This window comes from Homo sapiens, chromosome 7 (assembly GCF_000001405.40).
Source record: "Homo sapiens chromosome 7, GRCh38.p14 Primary Assembly".
In the NCBI taxonomy this organism is placed as follows: domain Eukaryota; kingdom Metazoa; phylum Chordata; class Mammalia; order Primates; family Hominidae; genus Homo; species Homo sapiens.
Genome location: NC_000007.14, coordinates 95,998,491 through 96,014,308, shown reverse-complemented (window position 1 = coordinate 96,014,308; position 15,818 = coordinate 95,998,491). Strand labels below are relative to the sequence as shown.

The following is a 15,818-nucleotide window of genomic DNA, read 5'->3' as shown; positions in this document are numbered from 1 at the left end:
GAAAGACTCTCTTTCTATAGCTGTGTCACTTTGTTCATGGGACTTAACTCCTTTAGGACGTAGTTTCTTCAATTAAGTTAAGGGCCACTGCCTGAGAGAACAGGCCATCTTCCCTTTCTTTAATGGCTGTAGGGAGTTCCAGCTCTTCAGAATGCAAAAGCATGACTCTGTTCTATAGATGAGTCCTCCTAAGTAAAAAATGATTTGAATGTCATTAAGCTGTTTGTTTCCTGCTCTGGTCAGAGGACAGCAGCCCTTACGGTAACACACAAAGGTTGTGGGGAAGGGACAGGATGTGATTTTTTCCCCTTCATCCTAATCATAGGATACAGACGTAGTGGAAAGATCCATGAACTGGTACTCAAGACTGATTTTCTATGTGAAAATCATGTTAATTCTGTTGGGCTTAATTTCTTCATGGGTACAATAAAATGGATCCTTTGGAGTTGGAAGCCTCAGAAGGGCAGGAGATGGGCTTCTCTTCTCTCTGTGTTGTTCTTTGTGCCTCAGCCAGTTCCTAAGATTTGGTAGGCATTAGCATTAATTTGCTCTTGCTGCAGTAACAAATTACCTGCTAATCCCAGCACTTTGGGAGGCCAAGGCCAGAGGATCACTTGAGCCCAGGAGTTCAAGACCAGCCTGGGCAACATGGCAAAAACCTGTCCCTACAAAAAATACAAAAATTAGCCAGGCGTGGTGGTACATGCCTGTAGTCCCAGCTACCTGGGAGACGGAGGCAAGAGGATCACTAGAGCCCAGAAGGTTGAGGCTTCAGTGAGCTGAGATCATGCCACTGCACTCCAGCCTGGGTGACAGAGTAAGACCCTGTCTCAAACAAAACAAAACAAAACAAAACAAAAACAAATTATGACACACTTAGTGGCTTAAAACAACATAAATTTATTATCTTACAGCTCTGGAGGTTGGAAGGACTAAAATCGAGGGGTAGACAGTGCTACGTTTCTTTTTGGAGGGTAAAGGGGAGAATCAATTTCTTGGCCTTCTTTCCAACTTCTAGAGGCCACCCTCATTTCTTGCATCATGCCACCTTTCACCCTCAAAGCCAGCAAGGGTTGGTCAAGTCTCTCTCTCACATCACACCTTCTGATTCTGCTTCCATCATCCCATCTCCTTCTCTGAGTCTGACCCTCTTTGCCTCTCTCTCTCTCTTTCACTTATGAGATCCCTTGTGATTACACTGGGCCGACCCACATAATCCAGGATAACCTCCCCATTTCAAGATCCTCAATTTGTGAGATTTTAGGGTACCCATCACCTGAGCAGTGTACACTATACCCTATTTGTAGTCTTTTATCCCTCACCCCCATCCACCCTTCCCCAAGTCACCACTAAGGAACTTACTCATGTAAGCAAACACCACCTGTACCCTAATAACCTATGGAAAAAATTTAAAAAAATAATAAAAAAAGATCCTTAATTTAATCCTATTTGCAAAGTCCCTTTTGCCACTTGAGGTAACATTCACAGGTTCCTGGTATAAGAATAGAGATGTCTTTGGGTGGCCATTATTCTATCAGCGTGGTCAACAAATACTTGATAAACTTGTAAATATTTTGAGAAAATGATAAATTAAGCACTTCAAAGTATATGTAAATTCAGCTGATTCCCACAGCCCATCACTAGCTAAAGTCATGGTCACATATATATTGTACACTCCCAGACAAACAACCTTCATACTCACTCGAGCTCATGTTCACCTGAGTTTATGTTTTGGCTTTAAAAATGTACCCTAGTTCTATTTCACTTTCTTTCACCTGATAGAATATAATCTGTTGTGAGATTTTCCTAAAAAGGTTAATTTGAATTGTTTACTCCCATATTGAGACAGCTAAAGTTCCAGGCAGAATAGAGATTTAAAACTCCTTTCTACTTCCTATCTCTTACTAAACTCCTTTCCCAATTGCCATTTCAAACAGAACAACCAACAAAAAAGAAAGGATGGTAATCTTCAGACAGAAGCAGAGACGCACAGAGCATACTGTAGACCTACTAGCAAAAACCCAAACTCTGCTGTTATTTGCAACCCATGAGTGCATATACCCTCTTCCTTCAAAATAAATCTTTCAAGCCTAAGTTACATTAGTGGAACTACTCTCTCAGTAGAGGTGCTATCAACCATCACATCAATCACAATCCATATACCTTCTGTCAAAACTTTTTCAAATTTGTTCTCATGGCATGAAAAAAATGTAACAATAAGCTTCCTGCCACTGTCCCCAACCCTCCTCCCACCAACGCAGATAAAATTTCAGGATAGTTTTGGCAGACCATAGGAACATATTTTCATTTTTTAAGTTTTTCAATTGTTTTGAAGCAGTTAACATTTTATGCTGATCGGTATGTGTCACTTGGGAAAACTTCTACCAGTTTTCTACCAGTACAATTACAGGGATCCCGTCTTATCTTTAAATTAACCGTAGCTTCAGAAAGACACGCCAATCTATTATATTTGCCAAATGCCAGTTATACCAATGTATCATATATATAACTGGTGTCAAAGACTAATTAGGAATAATTGAAAGTTAATTGAACAGTACACTCAAGTATGTTGACAGAAAGATATGTCTTGAGAACTAGATTGACACACACCACCACTTCGAAATTTTCTATGTGAGTTGTTCTCTTCTTTTAAAATTGGCAGTGATACCATATCAATGACAAAATTCACAGATTTACTTATTGATGGACTTAAGTACAAATAGAATATTTCTGTGTGGGCTTGGAGGAAATAACTGCAAATTTCACAAGGTGAAAATTCTCCTGAGCAATTTTTCCTATAGTTCTAGTAGGTTATTTAATATTTGGCACCTACTTTGAGCACAGATAAATATCCTACAGTGGGTTTAACATAGCACATAACTCTCACTGAAGAACGTGAATTTCTATGGGAAAATCTAGTCCAAAGGCAAAAAACCCCTCTACTTTATTTAACTTATTTTTTTCCTTAGTTAATTCCATGTTCTTGAGCATGAGCCCTAAAATGAAAAGAAACTGGGCAGATTGGTACATATTAAGTATAGTTAATATCAAGAACTAGGGAAAGTAAGCACAAAATAAAAGTTGAATTCTAAATAACTAGACTACTTCCACAGTCAAGAAATGTCACCCCTTGGTGGCAATAACATCTTTCTTATGGCAAATGCAAGGTACTGTGGAAAGTTCTACTGTGTTTACATTCGTCAGGTCAAATACAGTGTTGAAGAAATTGGTAGAAAGGCAAAAAATAAAATAAAACTACCTTTTCCCGAGGCAATCAGGCCAGGAAGGCAATAAGAATTCAATTTTCCCGTATAATTTAAATAATGAACTCAGTTTTCCACTCCCCTTCCAAAATGTAGATAATGGCTGTAGCTAAGCTCAAAGTTGTCACACATCTGGAAGACTATTTTAAAATACATTCAAAATGTTTTGATTACATGATGCCAAGCATCTGGCAATGCAAACTTCTTTAGGTGTTTTTCTTTTACAGATATTCAGCCCTGTATAGACAGTCATTGTGCTAGATTTTGAGCTACTCATTTTATTTGTACAACAACAAAAATATGTATGCAAAGGTAAGGCTTTCCTTATGATTTTGATTAGGTAGATTTAACCTAATGACATTAACAGAGTTGCCATTGATTCTTATATTACTAGAACCACCCTCTAGCTGGGCTTTCTCTCCACCCCCAAAAAGCCCTTCAGAGGCTTCTATTGGTCAGACCCTCCCCAGGAACAGTATTTCTCAAACAAACAGCATTCACTCACTTGTCTAAATAGTAATGGACTTTATTGGTTTCATTCCACAGCAAGGATGAGGAAAAGCGAGGCTTCTAGTTTTCCCTGCCTAATAAGAACCAGGCTTAGGAATACCTGTGGTTCACCAGCCATCCCCAAACATTTGCAGGATCTTGAGGTAGGAGGTAGGTATTCTTCATGTGAGGTCGCCTCCCTCCTAATGCGAGCTAGCTCGGACTTCCAAAGCCCTTTTCCACAAACGAACCTAACCATTCCCGCCTCCACTCCACTGACCACCTTAAGTCAGGTGACAATGCGGCGGCTGGGGTGTTCCGGGTCAACCACGCACTAGTTATTTGTTTTGTACCATGCATTCTACCTCAGATCACCTATTCTTGCTTTTGACCTAGTGGGGCAGGGACAGATTCCTCAAAGACAAGGAACAGGTCGTATTTATCATTGTAGCTTCAGTACCTAGCACAGTGCTAGGTTCAATAAATATCTTGAATTGTTCTGAATAAAATGTCGTCTGGGGAGGCCGAGACGGGTGGATCACCTGAGGTCGGGAGTTTGAGATCAGCCTGACCAACATGGAGAAACCTCATCTTTACTAAAAATACAAAATTTGCCGGGTGTGGTGGCTCATGGCTATAATTCCAGCTACTTGGGAGGCTGAGGCAGGAGAATCGCTTGAACCCGAGAGGCGGAGGTTGTGGTGAGCCGAGATCGTGCCACTGAACTCCAGCCTGGATAACAAAGAGTCAAACTCCGTCTTAAAAAAAAAAAAGAAGTCATCTGCCCCAGTGATGAGGTAAACAGCATTACATTTCAAACTTGAAATATAATTAAACAGGTGGTCAGGTTTGAGTTTAAGTAGTGTTCACAGTGTAGAAGGCATGAATAGCAGATCAGTGGGAGAGGTCTGCAGAGCTCTATTTGCAAAAGGGTGCTACTGGAACAACAGAAAAGACTGTATTTGTTATGAACAAGTGGAGTATCCAGCCTGTGTGTTTAGGCTTCCTTGAGACAAAGAATACACACTTTGGGGGAGAGAATCATTTTTGTCTCCTTCTTCATGGAATATGCCCTGACTCTGCTGGCTTCAGTTCTGGAAGGCCCAGGGCTACTCAGGGGTCTAGAGCATCATCAGCAACAATGGCACTGCAGCAATGGAAACCAGCACCTAGTGGTGGAGCTTGCTCTGGAGTGGGTGAGGCCAGCCCTCAGATGCTAATGGGGACAGGGCAGAGGGCAAGGCCTTGGGGCTTGAGTGCTGGAGTCATTGCAAGCTGCTTTTAGCTTCACGGGCAGTCATTGGAACCTTATTCATGAACACATTTGCAATATCCTCTGAGAACTCCCGGGAAAAAAGTGGGAGAATGTGAAGACCCCAGAGGGCCTAAGTTGCAAATGAGGTGAGGACCAGAGAAATATGTTTTACTCTGTTAATATGACTTCATTTAAAAACCAGTGTGCTGTGGCCTAGGAAAACCTGTATTTGATTGATTGCTAGATAGACAGATAAACAGATAGATAAATAGATGGAAAACAAATTTGATGTTATGAAGCAACATAATATTTTGCCATCTTATATTTAATAGCATAATATATTGCTATTTAACTTTCAAATATATTTTAAATCAAGTATTTGAAGCAGTTTCATGACCCTCTGAGCAGAAAATACACCTAAGAAAAATGCAGAAAGTCTCCTAAAGGGTTAATTGTTCCAAGGTGGAGAATATATTTAAATTCAAAATTCCTCATGAAAACCAGCCTTCTCTTTAGGTTTTTGCAAATAACAGCAATTGGTGGCTAATATTCTTAACCTTTAGTCAGTTTTCTGTTGATGAGAAATCAGAATCAGGGATTATTACTTTTCCAAAGAATGTTTAGACATCCTAGTGACATGATCACTATATGAAATATAATTCAAATTATCTCAGTTTAAACACTGACTTTGACAGTTAGTAAAATCATTTAATTTTCTACTATGGAAACTATTTTAATAATTTTAACCACTTTTTAGATTATATCAATTCTTTGAGATGAAGTACGACAGAGAAATGAAAATAATCTGTAAATTGAGCTCTATTGCAAAAAATGATTTTCATTCTTCAGTAGGGGTATTAATGGATAACCTTTCAAGTGCCTTTTTTTTTGTATTTCTCTTCTTCCTCTACCTCTCCTTTCTTATACAGCTCAAAGAAAATCTAGCTCATGAAAGCAGACTCTAGTTAATGACCCCCTTCCCTCTGCTCTCTCCCATTCTCTTTCATTCACATTCCCAACTTTGCATCTCTCTTCTCATTTTCCTTTTTTCTTTCCGGGGAATGACCACCTCAAAGGATTAATTCAGAACAGGCAGCAGAAAATGGTAACAAGAGTGGGCAAATCAGGATGTGGATTCAGAATCAAGAGGTATTTTAAAGGAGGAGAGTTACTCAAATTAAACATATGTTAAGAATATGGGTTTGTTGTTCATGGCATACCTGCTGCCTGTGATCCCACCCTCGTCAGATCAGCCTTCAAGAGCAGAGCATTCCCAAGTGCAATAATAAATACAGTGGCTGGAGGGTATATGGGTCTCAGCAGCTCTTACTTCACCGTAGGAACACAGGTGGTACTGACCTAGCTTAACCAGAGAAATGGACTGTGGCCCCTCAGGCTCAGAGCCAGTGAGAATTCAGTCCCCAAATAAACAGGCTTTGGGCATATATAAATTCTAATATAGGTCTTGGCATTTATAATATGCTTTGCTTCAACTGATATTGCCTGTTTCCCAAGGTGTCATCTTTCTTACTTTGATATGTGTGAACTAGGCAGTAAAAATCCATTAGCCTTCTTTTAAAAATGCTGTACAGAGGCTTAGAGTGTTTTTTCGCTGGGTTGATCTGCCATCAACCTAAGGATATGGCAAATTGTGTTATGTAGGTAACAATGAAAAGCCTTGCCCTACCTCTACACTTTCATTTCTCCTGATGTATCATATTTTGCAGCTCTTTGCTATCTCCGAATTTTGCACCCAAACATCATTGATATGAACTAGTCACACATACAACTCACCAAGGGTTTTCATCAGGAACTATGTAGAATATAAAACAGGAACTATATTATTTACTTTTCCATTTCTGTCCTCCCTTGCTTTAGAAGAGTTTTGAGGTGGAGAACAGTCATGTAATATATTTATGGCTTGAATTCATTCCATTGCTAGGCAAGATTCAACACTGTTGGATCCCTCAGGATAAGTATCCATGATACAGACATTGTTTAAGAATTTGTAAAGGTTTTTGAGAAAAAATATTTTACATTTAGTTTTGGAATAATACAGGTCTGAGAGGCTCACAGAGTCCACTTCCCATTTATTTTGCCATTATTCCTGTAACACAAGTACTAGCTAACTAGTGAAATTTTAACAGAACAATAAAGGGTAATTTTTTTCTCTTTGCACTGTGTATGAAAAAAAGAGTACTTGCTAACTAAAAGAATAATGTGAAAAAATAAATAGTTTCTAAGTCCTTCAATCTTTGTATTTGCTTTTGTTTTGCATTTTTTATTGATACATCATAGTTGTACATATTTTGGGGGTACATGTGATATTTTGATACATGTACACAATGTGTAATGATTGAATCACAGTAGTATCAGTTTAGAGATATGATACACAACCAACCAAATATTCTTATCTCTTCATTAAAGCAGGCAGGTCCCAGATGTTTAATTACAAGTTTGAGTTATAACATAGCATTGGTGTTCTGTTTCACTTCTGTAACAATGTCCCAAATCAGCAGCTGTCATATCAGAGGACCTGATATAGTGAAAATTTCTATTTGCACAAAGGATAGTTTGGAGACTGTGATGATTTGTTTTTCAAAAAGAATCATTTAATTATCCTGATCTTCTTTAGTAAATCATATCTGATTTGAGAATTGGCCTTCTCTGTCCATGTTGTCCAAATTTGTGATGTTTTACAGAACTTGGCTCAAAATCCCTCATACAAAGGGAAGAACACATTGGAATGTTCTAAAGGCAGGAAATTTATGTAAAGCAGTTTTCAATATAGAGAAGTGATAATCCAGTGAAATCCTGTTCTGAAAATTAGCTAAATATTCACAAATTTGACAAAGCACACAAGAGAAGATGCAATAAAACATGTAAGGGTCATCATGAGGAGTGTGACTGGGGAGGGGGAGAAAGGCTCAGGTGGGGTTTTCTCTCCTCTGAGCACCTGCTCCAAAAGTGAAGTCTTTTGGCATGGTGTCATTTATGCCTGTGATGAAGCGCCTGGATTCTCTCGAATGCTCGCATCTTCCCCTGCCAAGTCATCATCCATTCCCATTTATTTAAAAAATTGATTATTAGATGAAACAACAAAATATATCTCCCATTACACATATTAAGTGGGGATATATGCAGAACTATTGATCAGTTGTTAAGGTTGGCTAACACATTTTCTCCATGTTTAAAACAAAATGAAATCTACAGTTGAAATACTCATGAATCCACACAAATTCCTGTGACAGGGACCTTCCTACTCTTCCTGCTCCCCCCTTGTTTTCTTCACGCACATGTGTCCTTGCTGCCAGAGAAGCACATTTACTTTGATAGTGGAGCTCCTTTAGCCATTAAAAGCTACAGTTCTACTTTTTATATTTGGAAAAATGCTCAAAATGTGTTACTTTCAGGGGGAAGTAAATACTGGGCCACTTTGAGTCAAGCCCTTCAAAGCCTAGCAACGGCGTTTTGAAAACTTCTGATTCTATTTTTGTAGAATCTTTGTCCCATATTTTCCCCGTGTGGATTTTCTGAAAGGCTTTGAGTCCTTGAGTGAGCGTTCTTCCAGTGGCAATTTCAACATATCTGCCGAATGTTTTCATTTATGCTGCTGGTAGGATACACGATAATATACATCATTAAATTAATACTGTTCCCATACAGCAGTTCTTTTCCAGGAGTTGTTTGCTGGCTGTCCAGCTGTGGGATCAGAGGATGGGATACTGTTGATTTTAGACATAAGGAAGGGGACAGTGGGAGCCAAGCTTTTAGTGATGAAGCCTTTTAGGGTCCTGGGGGAACTACTATACGTCTCGTGTCAGATAACGCAATATGCAACATCGCTGTTCACAAAGAGCGCCCACCCAAGATGAAAAATCACAGAGAAGGCAAAATAATTTACTAAAATGTGGACTGGGAGCACTCTCTTTTAGAAAGTGTCTAGGAGGGAAAGCTAAATAAGCCAAAGGAAAAATTTGTGTGTAAGCTGCTTATCTGCTATTATTAGCAAGGTGAAGGGATCCTGGCAACACTTTGTGGTCTTTAAGGACATTTTGGCTTCTCTTGGCATGATGCTCTGGAATTATTTTTTCCATTTTTTCATGCCGTCTCTGTAACACAACCTCTTTACAGAGTATATCTCAGGAAATGACAATTGGCTGTCGAATCCCATACAAACTGATTGGATATGACAGCTTAAAGGAAGAAATATTCTGCAGAGAAGAAAGTTTTTACTCATACTCTTATATTTTAATCCTCTTTTTACTTTTTCTTGGTTAATTTTATTATTTCAATTAGATAATTTAAAAATCAACACATCACATACCAACCTCTCCTAAGAGCAATCATAAGATTTGATGATTTTTCTGATAGACAGGATAGGGTTTCAAATTTGCATTATTTTATCTACTGAATTAACTATGAATTCTAAACCAAGCTAATGCTGCCATGTGTTTTTAAACATCTCTAATCTAAACCATCTGGAGAGGCATGGTTTTGCAAAGGCATCCCCTACAGGACACTGTGGATTTTGTCACTGCTTGAGGTTTTGGCAAACCATCAATGTTACTATAATTCTCTTTTGTGAAATATAGCTTTTGACTAGGATTTGAGAGTCTTGGTTGTGTGTGTGTGTGTGTGTGTGTGTGTGTGTGCATGCATTTATGTGAGCATGAGCACTTGGGTACAATTTTTTGCTCCTGTTTTCTTTAGTTTTCAGAAGACTATATTTATCATGAACATTTTAAAGAAATAAAGATTTTAATTTAATTTCAACTACTCAACATAACACTAGACAAAGTTATTGAAGAAGCAAAGATGTAATGCTGCATAACATAACTTATTGTTCATAGGTGCTGGAAATACTTTTTAAAAACTCAAAAGGAAAAAAACATAATGGCTTTAGAGAACAAAAAACAGTGAAGTTATAAAATGATTATGGATACAATAATTTGTAGCATATAAGGCATAAACTCAATATATTTTCAAGGAGATTAGAGTTAAAAATTAACGAAGATAAATCTTTCACCTAATAAAAGCAACATCTTGCTCAAGTCTTTGGCAAATAATGAACATACCATTTAAAAGTAAACAATCGGATATAAAAACGGAAAAAGCAAAGTATAGACTATTTGTTACAATAGAGGTTAGAAAACTTCCCCGGGAAGTAAAGATAATTATATTTGAAGAAATTCTCTACAATAGTAAATGTTTTCAAATAATTCCAAAAATTAAGTTTTGCTCAAAGTCACTGTCTAAAATGTATTACAATAAGAATGTGACTCTTGGAGAATCACATTATTTATTTATTCCAGGAGTCTCTGTATTTATTAATAACACAGTGTGTTCAAAAAGCCCCATTCATCCAACAATATTAGGCAACTTAAAGACACACACAAATCAGAAAGTGTGGACCTAGTTTGCAGAGGGAGAAAAAGCTATATTTTTAAAAAATAGATGGTCTGGAGTCTAGAAGTGGTTCCATCCCTAGAATATAAACAAGACAAAGCAATATACAAGTATCCCTCTCGGGGGTGGTAGTGGCCTCTGTCCACTCTTGGTGGGGACTCATCTGGCCTGGGGCAACTACAGCCCACTCCTGCTCTGTACTGGTTCCTTTCCTGAAAGGAGGGCCCCCATGCACATATCTCTGAGGGAGGGTGTTGCCCTTCTGAGACTTCTCTTTCCTTTCAGACCACCTGGTATTCTTTTAAACCTGCTCTTGCCTATATGAAAATGTTGTAGGATAAAGAAAATGCATAATCTGATAGTCCAGAGAATGGAAGCCCTACCAAAGGGGTCCTTGGGTCATACATATCTCTAAGAGGGACAGCTTTTAACAGATATGCTAAACTGGTATTAAATGAAAGTAGAAAACATTGGTCAGCCCCATCATCCTTATTCTTGCTTCATAGCCTACAGAGTGTGTTAAGCACGGCAAATGGCCAGTTAGTCTCTAAATAATTCATTGTAGCCATGTGAGCTACGTAGGTACAAGAGGGTTCATTTATGAAGCTGGGGCATGGGGCCATCAGTGTGAGTAGTCTAGCCAAGGAAGCCAATGCATCTGTACCTCGCAAGTGGCAAAAGCACAATAACAGGATGATATTCAAGCCATACACATAGTATAACCTTATGGGTTATTAAAATGCTGAGTTCAGCCGGGTACAATGGCTCACGCCTGTAATCCCAGCATTTTGGAAGGCTGAGGCAGGAGGATCACAAGGTCAGGAGATCAAGACCAGCCTGGCCAACATGGTGAAATCCTGTCTCTACCAAAAAATACAAAACTTTGCTGGGCGTGGTGGTGTGCGCCTGTAATCCCAGCTACTTGGGAGGCTGAGGCAGGAGAATCGCTTGAACCTGGGAGTCTGAGGTTGCAGTGAGCTGAGATCGTGCTGCTGTACGCCAGCCTCATGACAGAGCAAGATTCTGTCTCAAAAACAAACAAACAAAAAAAACACAAAAAAAACCCAAAAAAAAACCAAAACCAAAAAAAAAATGCTGAGCTTATTTTGTACTCATTGGTAAGATGCCCTTCTCTACCTGTCCCCAGCACTCTCCTGTTGCCTGAATGAATTGGTACCTCCCTGGAGAACCCCTCAGTCACAACCCCCCATTCAGCAACTAAGGAGGGAGGTCACATCCATGCTATTTGGACAATACACAAAGATTGCTACATATTTTGAATTTCATTCTTGTATATTCAATAATAATTATTGCTGACACTCACTGGGTACTTACTATGGGCCTGTCACTAAATACATCACATTTATTTATTTATTATAGTTTCATAACAACCATTTGACTTGCTCAAGGTCACAGAGATTCTAAGTGGTAGAATCCAAATTATAATTCCAGGCTGTGTGGCCTTATAGCTCACTCTTAACCACTATGTACTTAACTTCCTCCCAGAACTCAGAAAATACCTCATCATCATTTAGTTAGAAAACAAATGGTTAAATAGTTGGGATGAGAGAACTTTGGAATTGTCTCAGTTTCCCTCTATCAACTGGCATTTTAATATAAAGAACACACATATAAATTTGACCAATGTGAACAGGGCCTAGGCAATAGAAATAATTGAGAGGAGCCAGTCAGGTGATGGAAAATTAAGCATGGTTGGGGTTGGGGAAAACTGAAGGGCTCTTGTGGAGAGGGTCTCACCTCCAGCCTATCACTGCTGTGAGGGCCTGGCCATGGTGGGTACCTCCAAAATAATTGTTGAATGAATGAACAAATGAATGGGTCAATGAATGAATCTAAGTTAGGTGAAATTTCTTCAGGAATATATCCTAGCAAGAAAAATAAAAATGCCAAGGTTTAAGCTTCTTCCCACGTGACTATCATGCAATAATAGTAAAACAAACAGATGTAAAGAGAATACTTTTATCATTTCAAAGCAAGTTCACCAATTACTATGGACTGAATTGTACTTCCCCCACCACGACCAAATTCATATGTTGAAGCCCCCACCCTCAATGTGACTGTATTTGGAAATAGGGACCAGAAGGAGGTAATGAAGGTTATGAGGTCATAACGGTAGGGACCTGATAGGATAGGATTAGTGTCCTTATAAGAGACATCAGAGAGCTCACTGTCTCCATCCACCATGTGAAGACACAACAAGACAGTGGCCATCTGCAAGCCAAGAAGAGAGCTCTCACAGATTACATTATGTGTAAGGCTACGCACACAGTATAACCTTACCAGTTATTAAAATACTGATCTCATTTTAGCTCAGTATTTGCTGCCTCCTTGACTGTGGACTTCTCAGACTCCAAAACAGTGAAAAATAAATTTCTGTTGTTTATAAACCGCCCAGTCAATGTTATTTTGTTGTAGCAGCCTGAGCAGGCTAATATAACTATATTGTTTCTATTATCCTTATTATAATCTTAAGAGGTAGTTAGAATCCCATCCATCTTCAACCCAGACCCCTCAGAACACCCATCTTCCTGAGACCAAGGCTTCTCTCACCTCAGTGAATGGCTGGAGGTGGGTGGGTATTGCAGGGAAGGGAGGGACAAGACAGCAAACGTGCTCATATTGCAATCTGGCTCTCACTGCACAGCATCCATAATTCCCAGGATACTTCCTGAATGAAGCACAGTGGAGAAAGCCTGGTTCAGATGGTTGTAGCACAGTGGATGGGGAGAGAAGGGAAGGGCATTTAGGGAACTGGATAGAATCAGCTGGAGTTCTGTGTTGACAACATGTGTGCACATTAACGGGATGCAGCAAATGCTAGTAAGAGGCTAGTTTTTGTAATGATATGAAACTTTAGCTTGATCACTTGCAATGTGTCATGGCAAGACAAATAAAACGATTTTAAAACAACTTGTTTAAAGGTGTATTCTCATGGTATCCTCTTCATCAAATAGCTCACTTGGTCCCTCGCATACTCCATGAGGTATAGAAATAATCTCCTTCATTGCTGTTTTCAGATGAGGAATCACCTACAATACAATCTCTTTGCTAGAATCCAGCTGATAATTCTAACTTCCCCAGATGTGTCCCAGTGATCACTTCTGCTTCTTCATGAGTTGCTTTTTGGAGAAGACTCTAGAGGAGGGTAGATAAAGAATGAAAGCTGGAGGGGCAGGTTTTCTGCTTCCAGCTTCCTGGGCAAAGCAAAATGAAATTCCTGCTGTTTGATTTAATAAGAATCACTGTCTAGCTCATCGGATCGGTCATTCTCAATTGGCAGAAAAGAAGTGTTTTGGGATGTCTGCATTTCATTTCACCATGTATACTGGTATTCCCTTATGCCTTTTCCGAAAGGCACAAAGTAGCAATGTTGTGGCACTATTTCTCTGGTCTGATCCATGTAAGTTGTATCTTTTATGTAAGAGTTTAATTTTACCTTTATGTCAAAAGTTAAGTTTAAATTTTCCATGATTTTATTCTTCAAAATGTGTATGATAATCAATGTAACACTGGTTGAGGTTTCCTCTTCTGTTTTCCCATCCTGAGGCACTTTGAATATCACATTTGAAAACTGTTTGGGTCTCACTCTGGTTTTCATATTCTTAGCCATGGAGTTTATTTGGCAATTATAAAGCACCTACTATGTGCTTTCATTTTGAATCCCAGGAATTCATACTAAATATGAAGCAGTAATTGTCAAAGAACTTTCTGTTCTTTTATCTGTTTTTCTTTTTTGACCTGTAATAACCACTTCTTAGCCTAGCCAAGAGAAAAGCTTAGAAGATGCCCTTTTCTTTTTATCAGATGGGCCATAAGCAAGTTACTATTCTTTTCATTTAAAAAAATAAATAAAAATCCTTAAGGAGATTCTAACACTTCTCTGGTCAAAATATACTTTACAAAGTTAATGTCAATTAATTTATATCTCTGTGTCCACAGCCGTTTTGTAGATTTGGATTACAGACCACAATCTGGGTTGGGGGAGGGACAAAAATTGATGGAGGAAGAAATGAGGTTTACTGAAATAAACTTTACAATTGAACCAGAGACTAGAGAAAGTCTTCTTTGCATGGGATCAGGAAACACAACAATAAAGCCCCCATGACTCACCCAGGGTCACTCAGCAGTGCAGTCAGCTAGGAATGGAACTCCGAGTCCTAACTTTCTGTCCCTGTCCTAACCACCAGCCCACACTCCCTCCTCTGTTACCATCACTCTTCACAGGCGGAACTCTCTTTGAGGTTAGCAGGAACGTCATACAGAATCAAACACTGGGCAGCTGAGGCCGTGTGCAGCAATGACATCTGTACCCTTTATAGAATCTTAACGGGAAGCAAAGCCCATGAAGGAATAAAGACTGAGGGCTTTAAACACTGACACAAACGAGGTTAGCTGATATTACCCCACTTCACACTCTGCTTTGCCCTGACATAGTGAGGGTTTCAGGTGATTGTCAGCTTCAGGTCATTGTCAGGTCCACCTCTAAAAGAGATTGCCAAGAACAAAGAAACCAAATCACCAAAAAGTAAAAGTAAAAATAAAAACCTCTGACCAAGCTAAGACTCTAAACATAGCTTTTACATTTACCTCAACGCAGATAATTCTAAGGTATATATTTCTGATTCTATTCATTCCATTTAAAAGAGAAAGACCACACCAGGGTAAGCAATGCAGGGTGGTCAGACACATAATCTAATGACAGTGTGTGGAAGCCACTACAGAAGACAGCAGGAGCACTGCCAGAGTGTGTTATGGGGCTGAGTGGCTGATTTCTATGCAGGGTCCACCAATATTTTCCAAGTACAGACAGCTTTTATTGAAATAAAAATAGAAAATGCAGGACCAGAGATCACACTAAAAATTCAGTTTAGTAAAGACACAAAAACTGCCTGTGACAGTAGAAGATACTTTTTGGCCTTGCTATCCATAACAGAGAGAAATGAAACTATATACTAAAATCTTTTTATGAGTAGGCAAAAAGCTTGTCAGTCTTTACAAAACACCATGGAGCTGATGTCTGTTTCTTGTGCATTTGCTTTCCACTGACTGACACAATGCTTCTCTGATCCATTGGTTTTGTTTACAATTATACACTTTTAAAAAATATGAAGAATCAGCAGAGATCAGCAGGAAATGAATAGCTACGCAATTACTCCAAAATTATAAAAGTACAGTCATCATAAGGTACTCTTGCTACTCTCTACCTCTGCCCTTTTTCTAAGTAATGAATTGTCTAATTTTGAAATTATCAGAACATCACAGGAGAATGCGGAAGCACATTCAAACGACGTGATTTCCCTGAGTTAGTGTCTAGAAATGACCAGTTGTAATAAATAAGATTTAGCAAAGATCAGATAGGATAGAAGAAAAGTTATAGGTCA

The 15,818-nt window shown here is 38.9% G+C and overlaps 1 protein-coding gene across 5 annotated transcripts in view; it reads right to left on the bottom strand.

Annotated features, from left to right (window-relative positions):
• DYNC1I1 (dynein cytoplasmic 1 intermediate chain 1) overlaps window positions 1–15,818 on the bottom strand; it is a 337,769-nt gene that overhangs the window by 96,014 nt on the left and 225,937 nt on the right. The gene's annotated exons all lie outside the window — the stretch shown is intronic.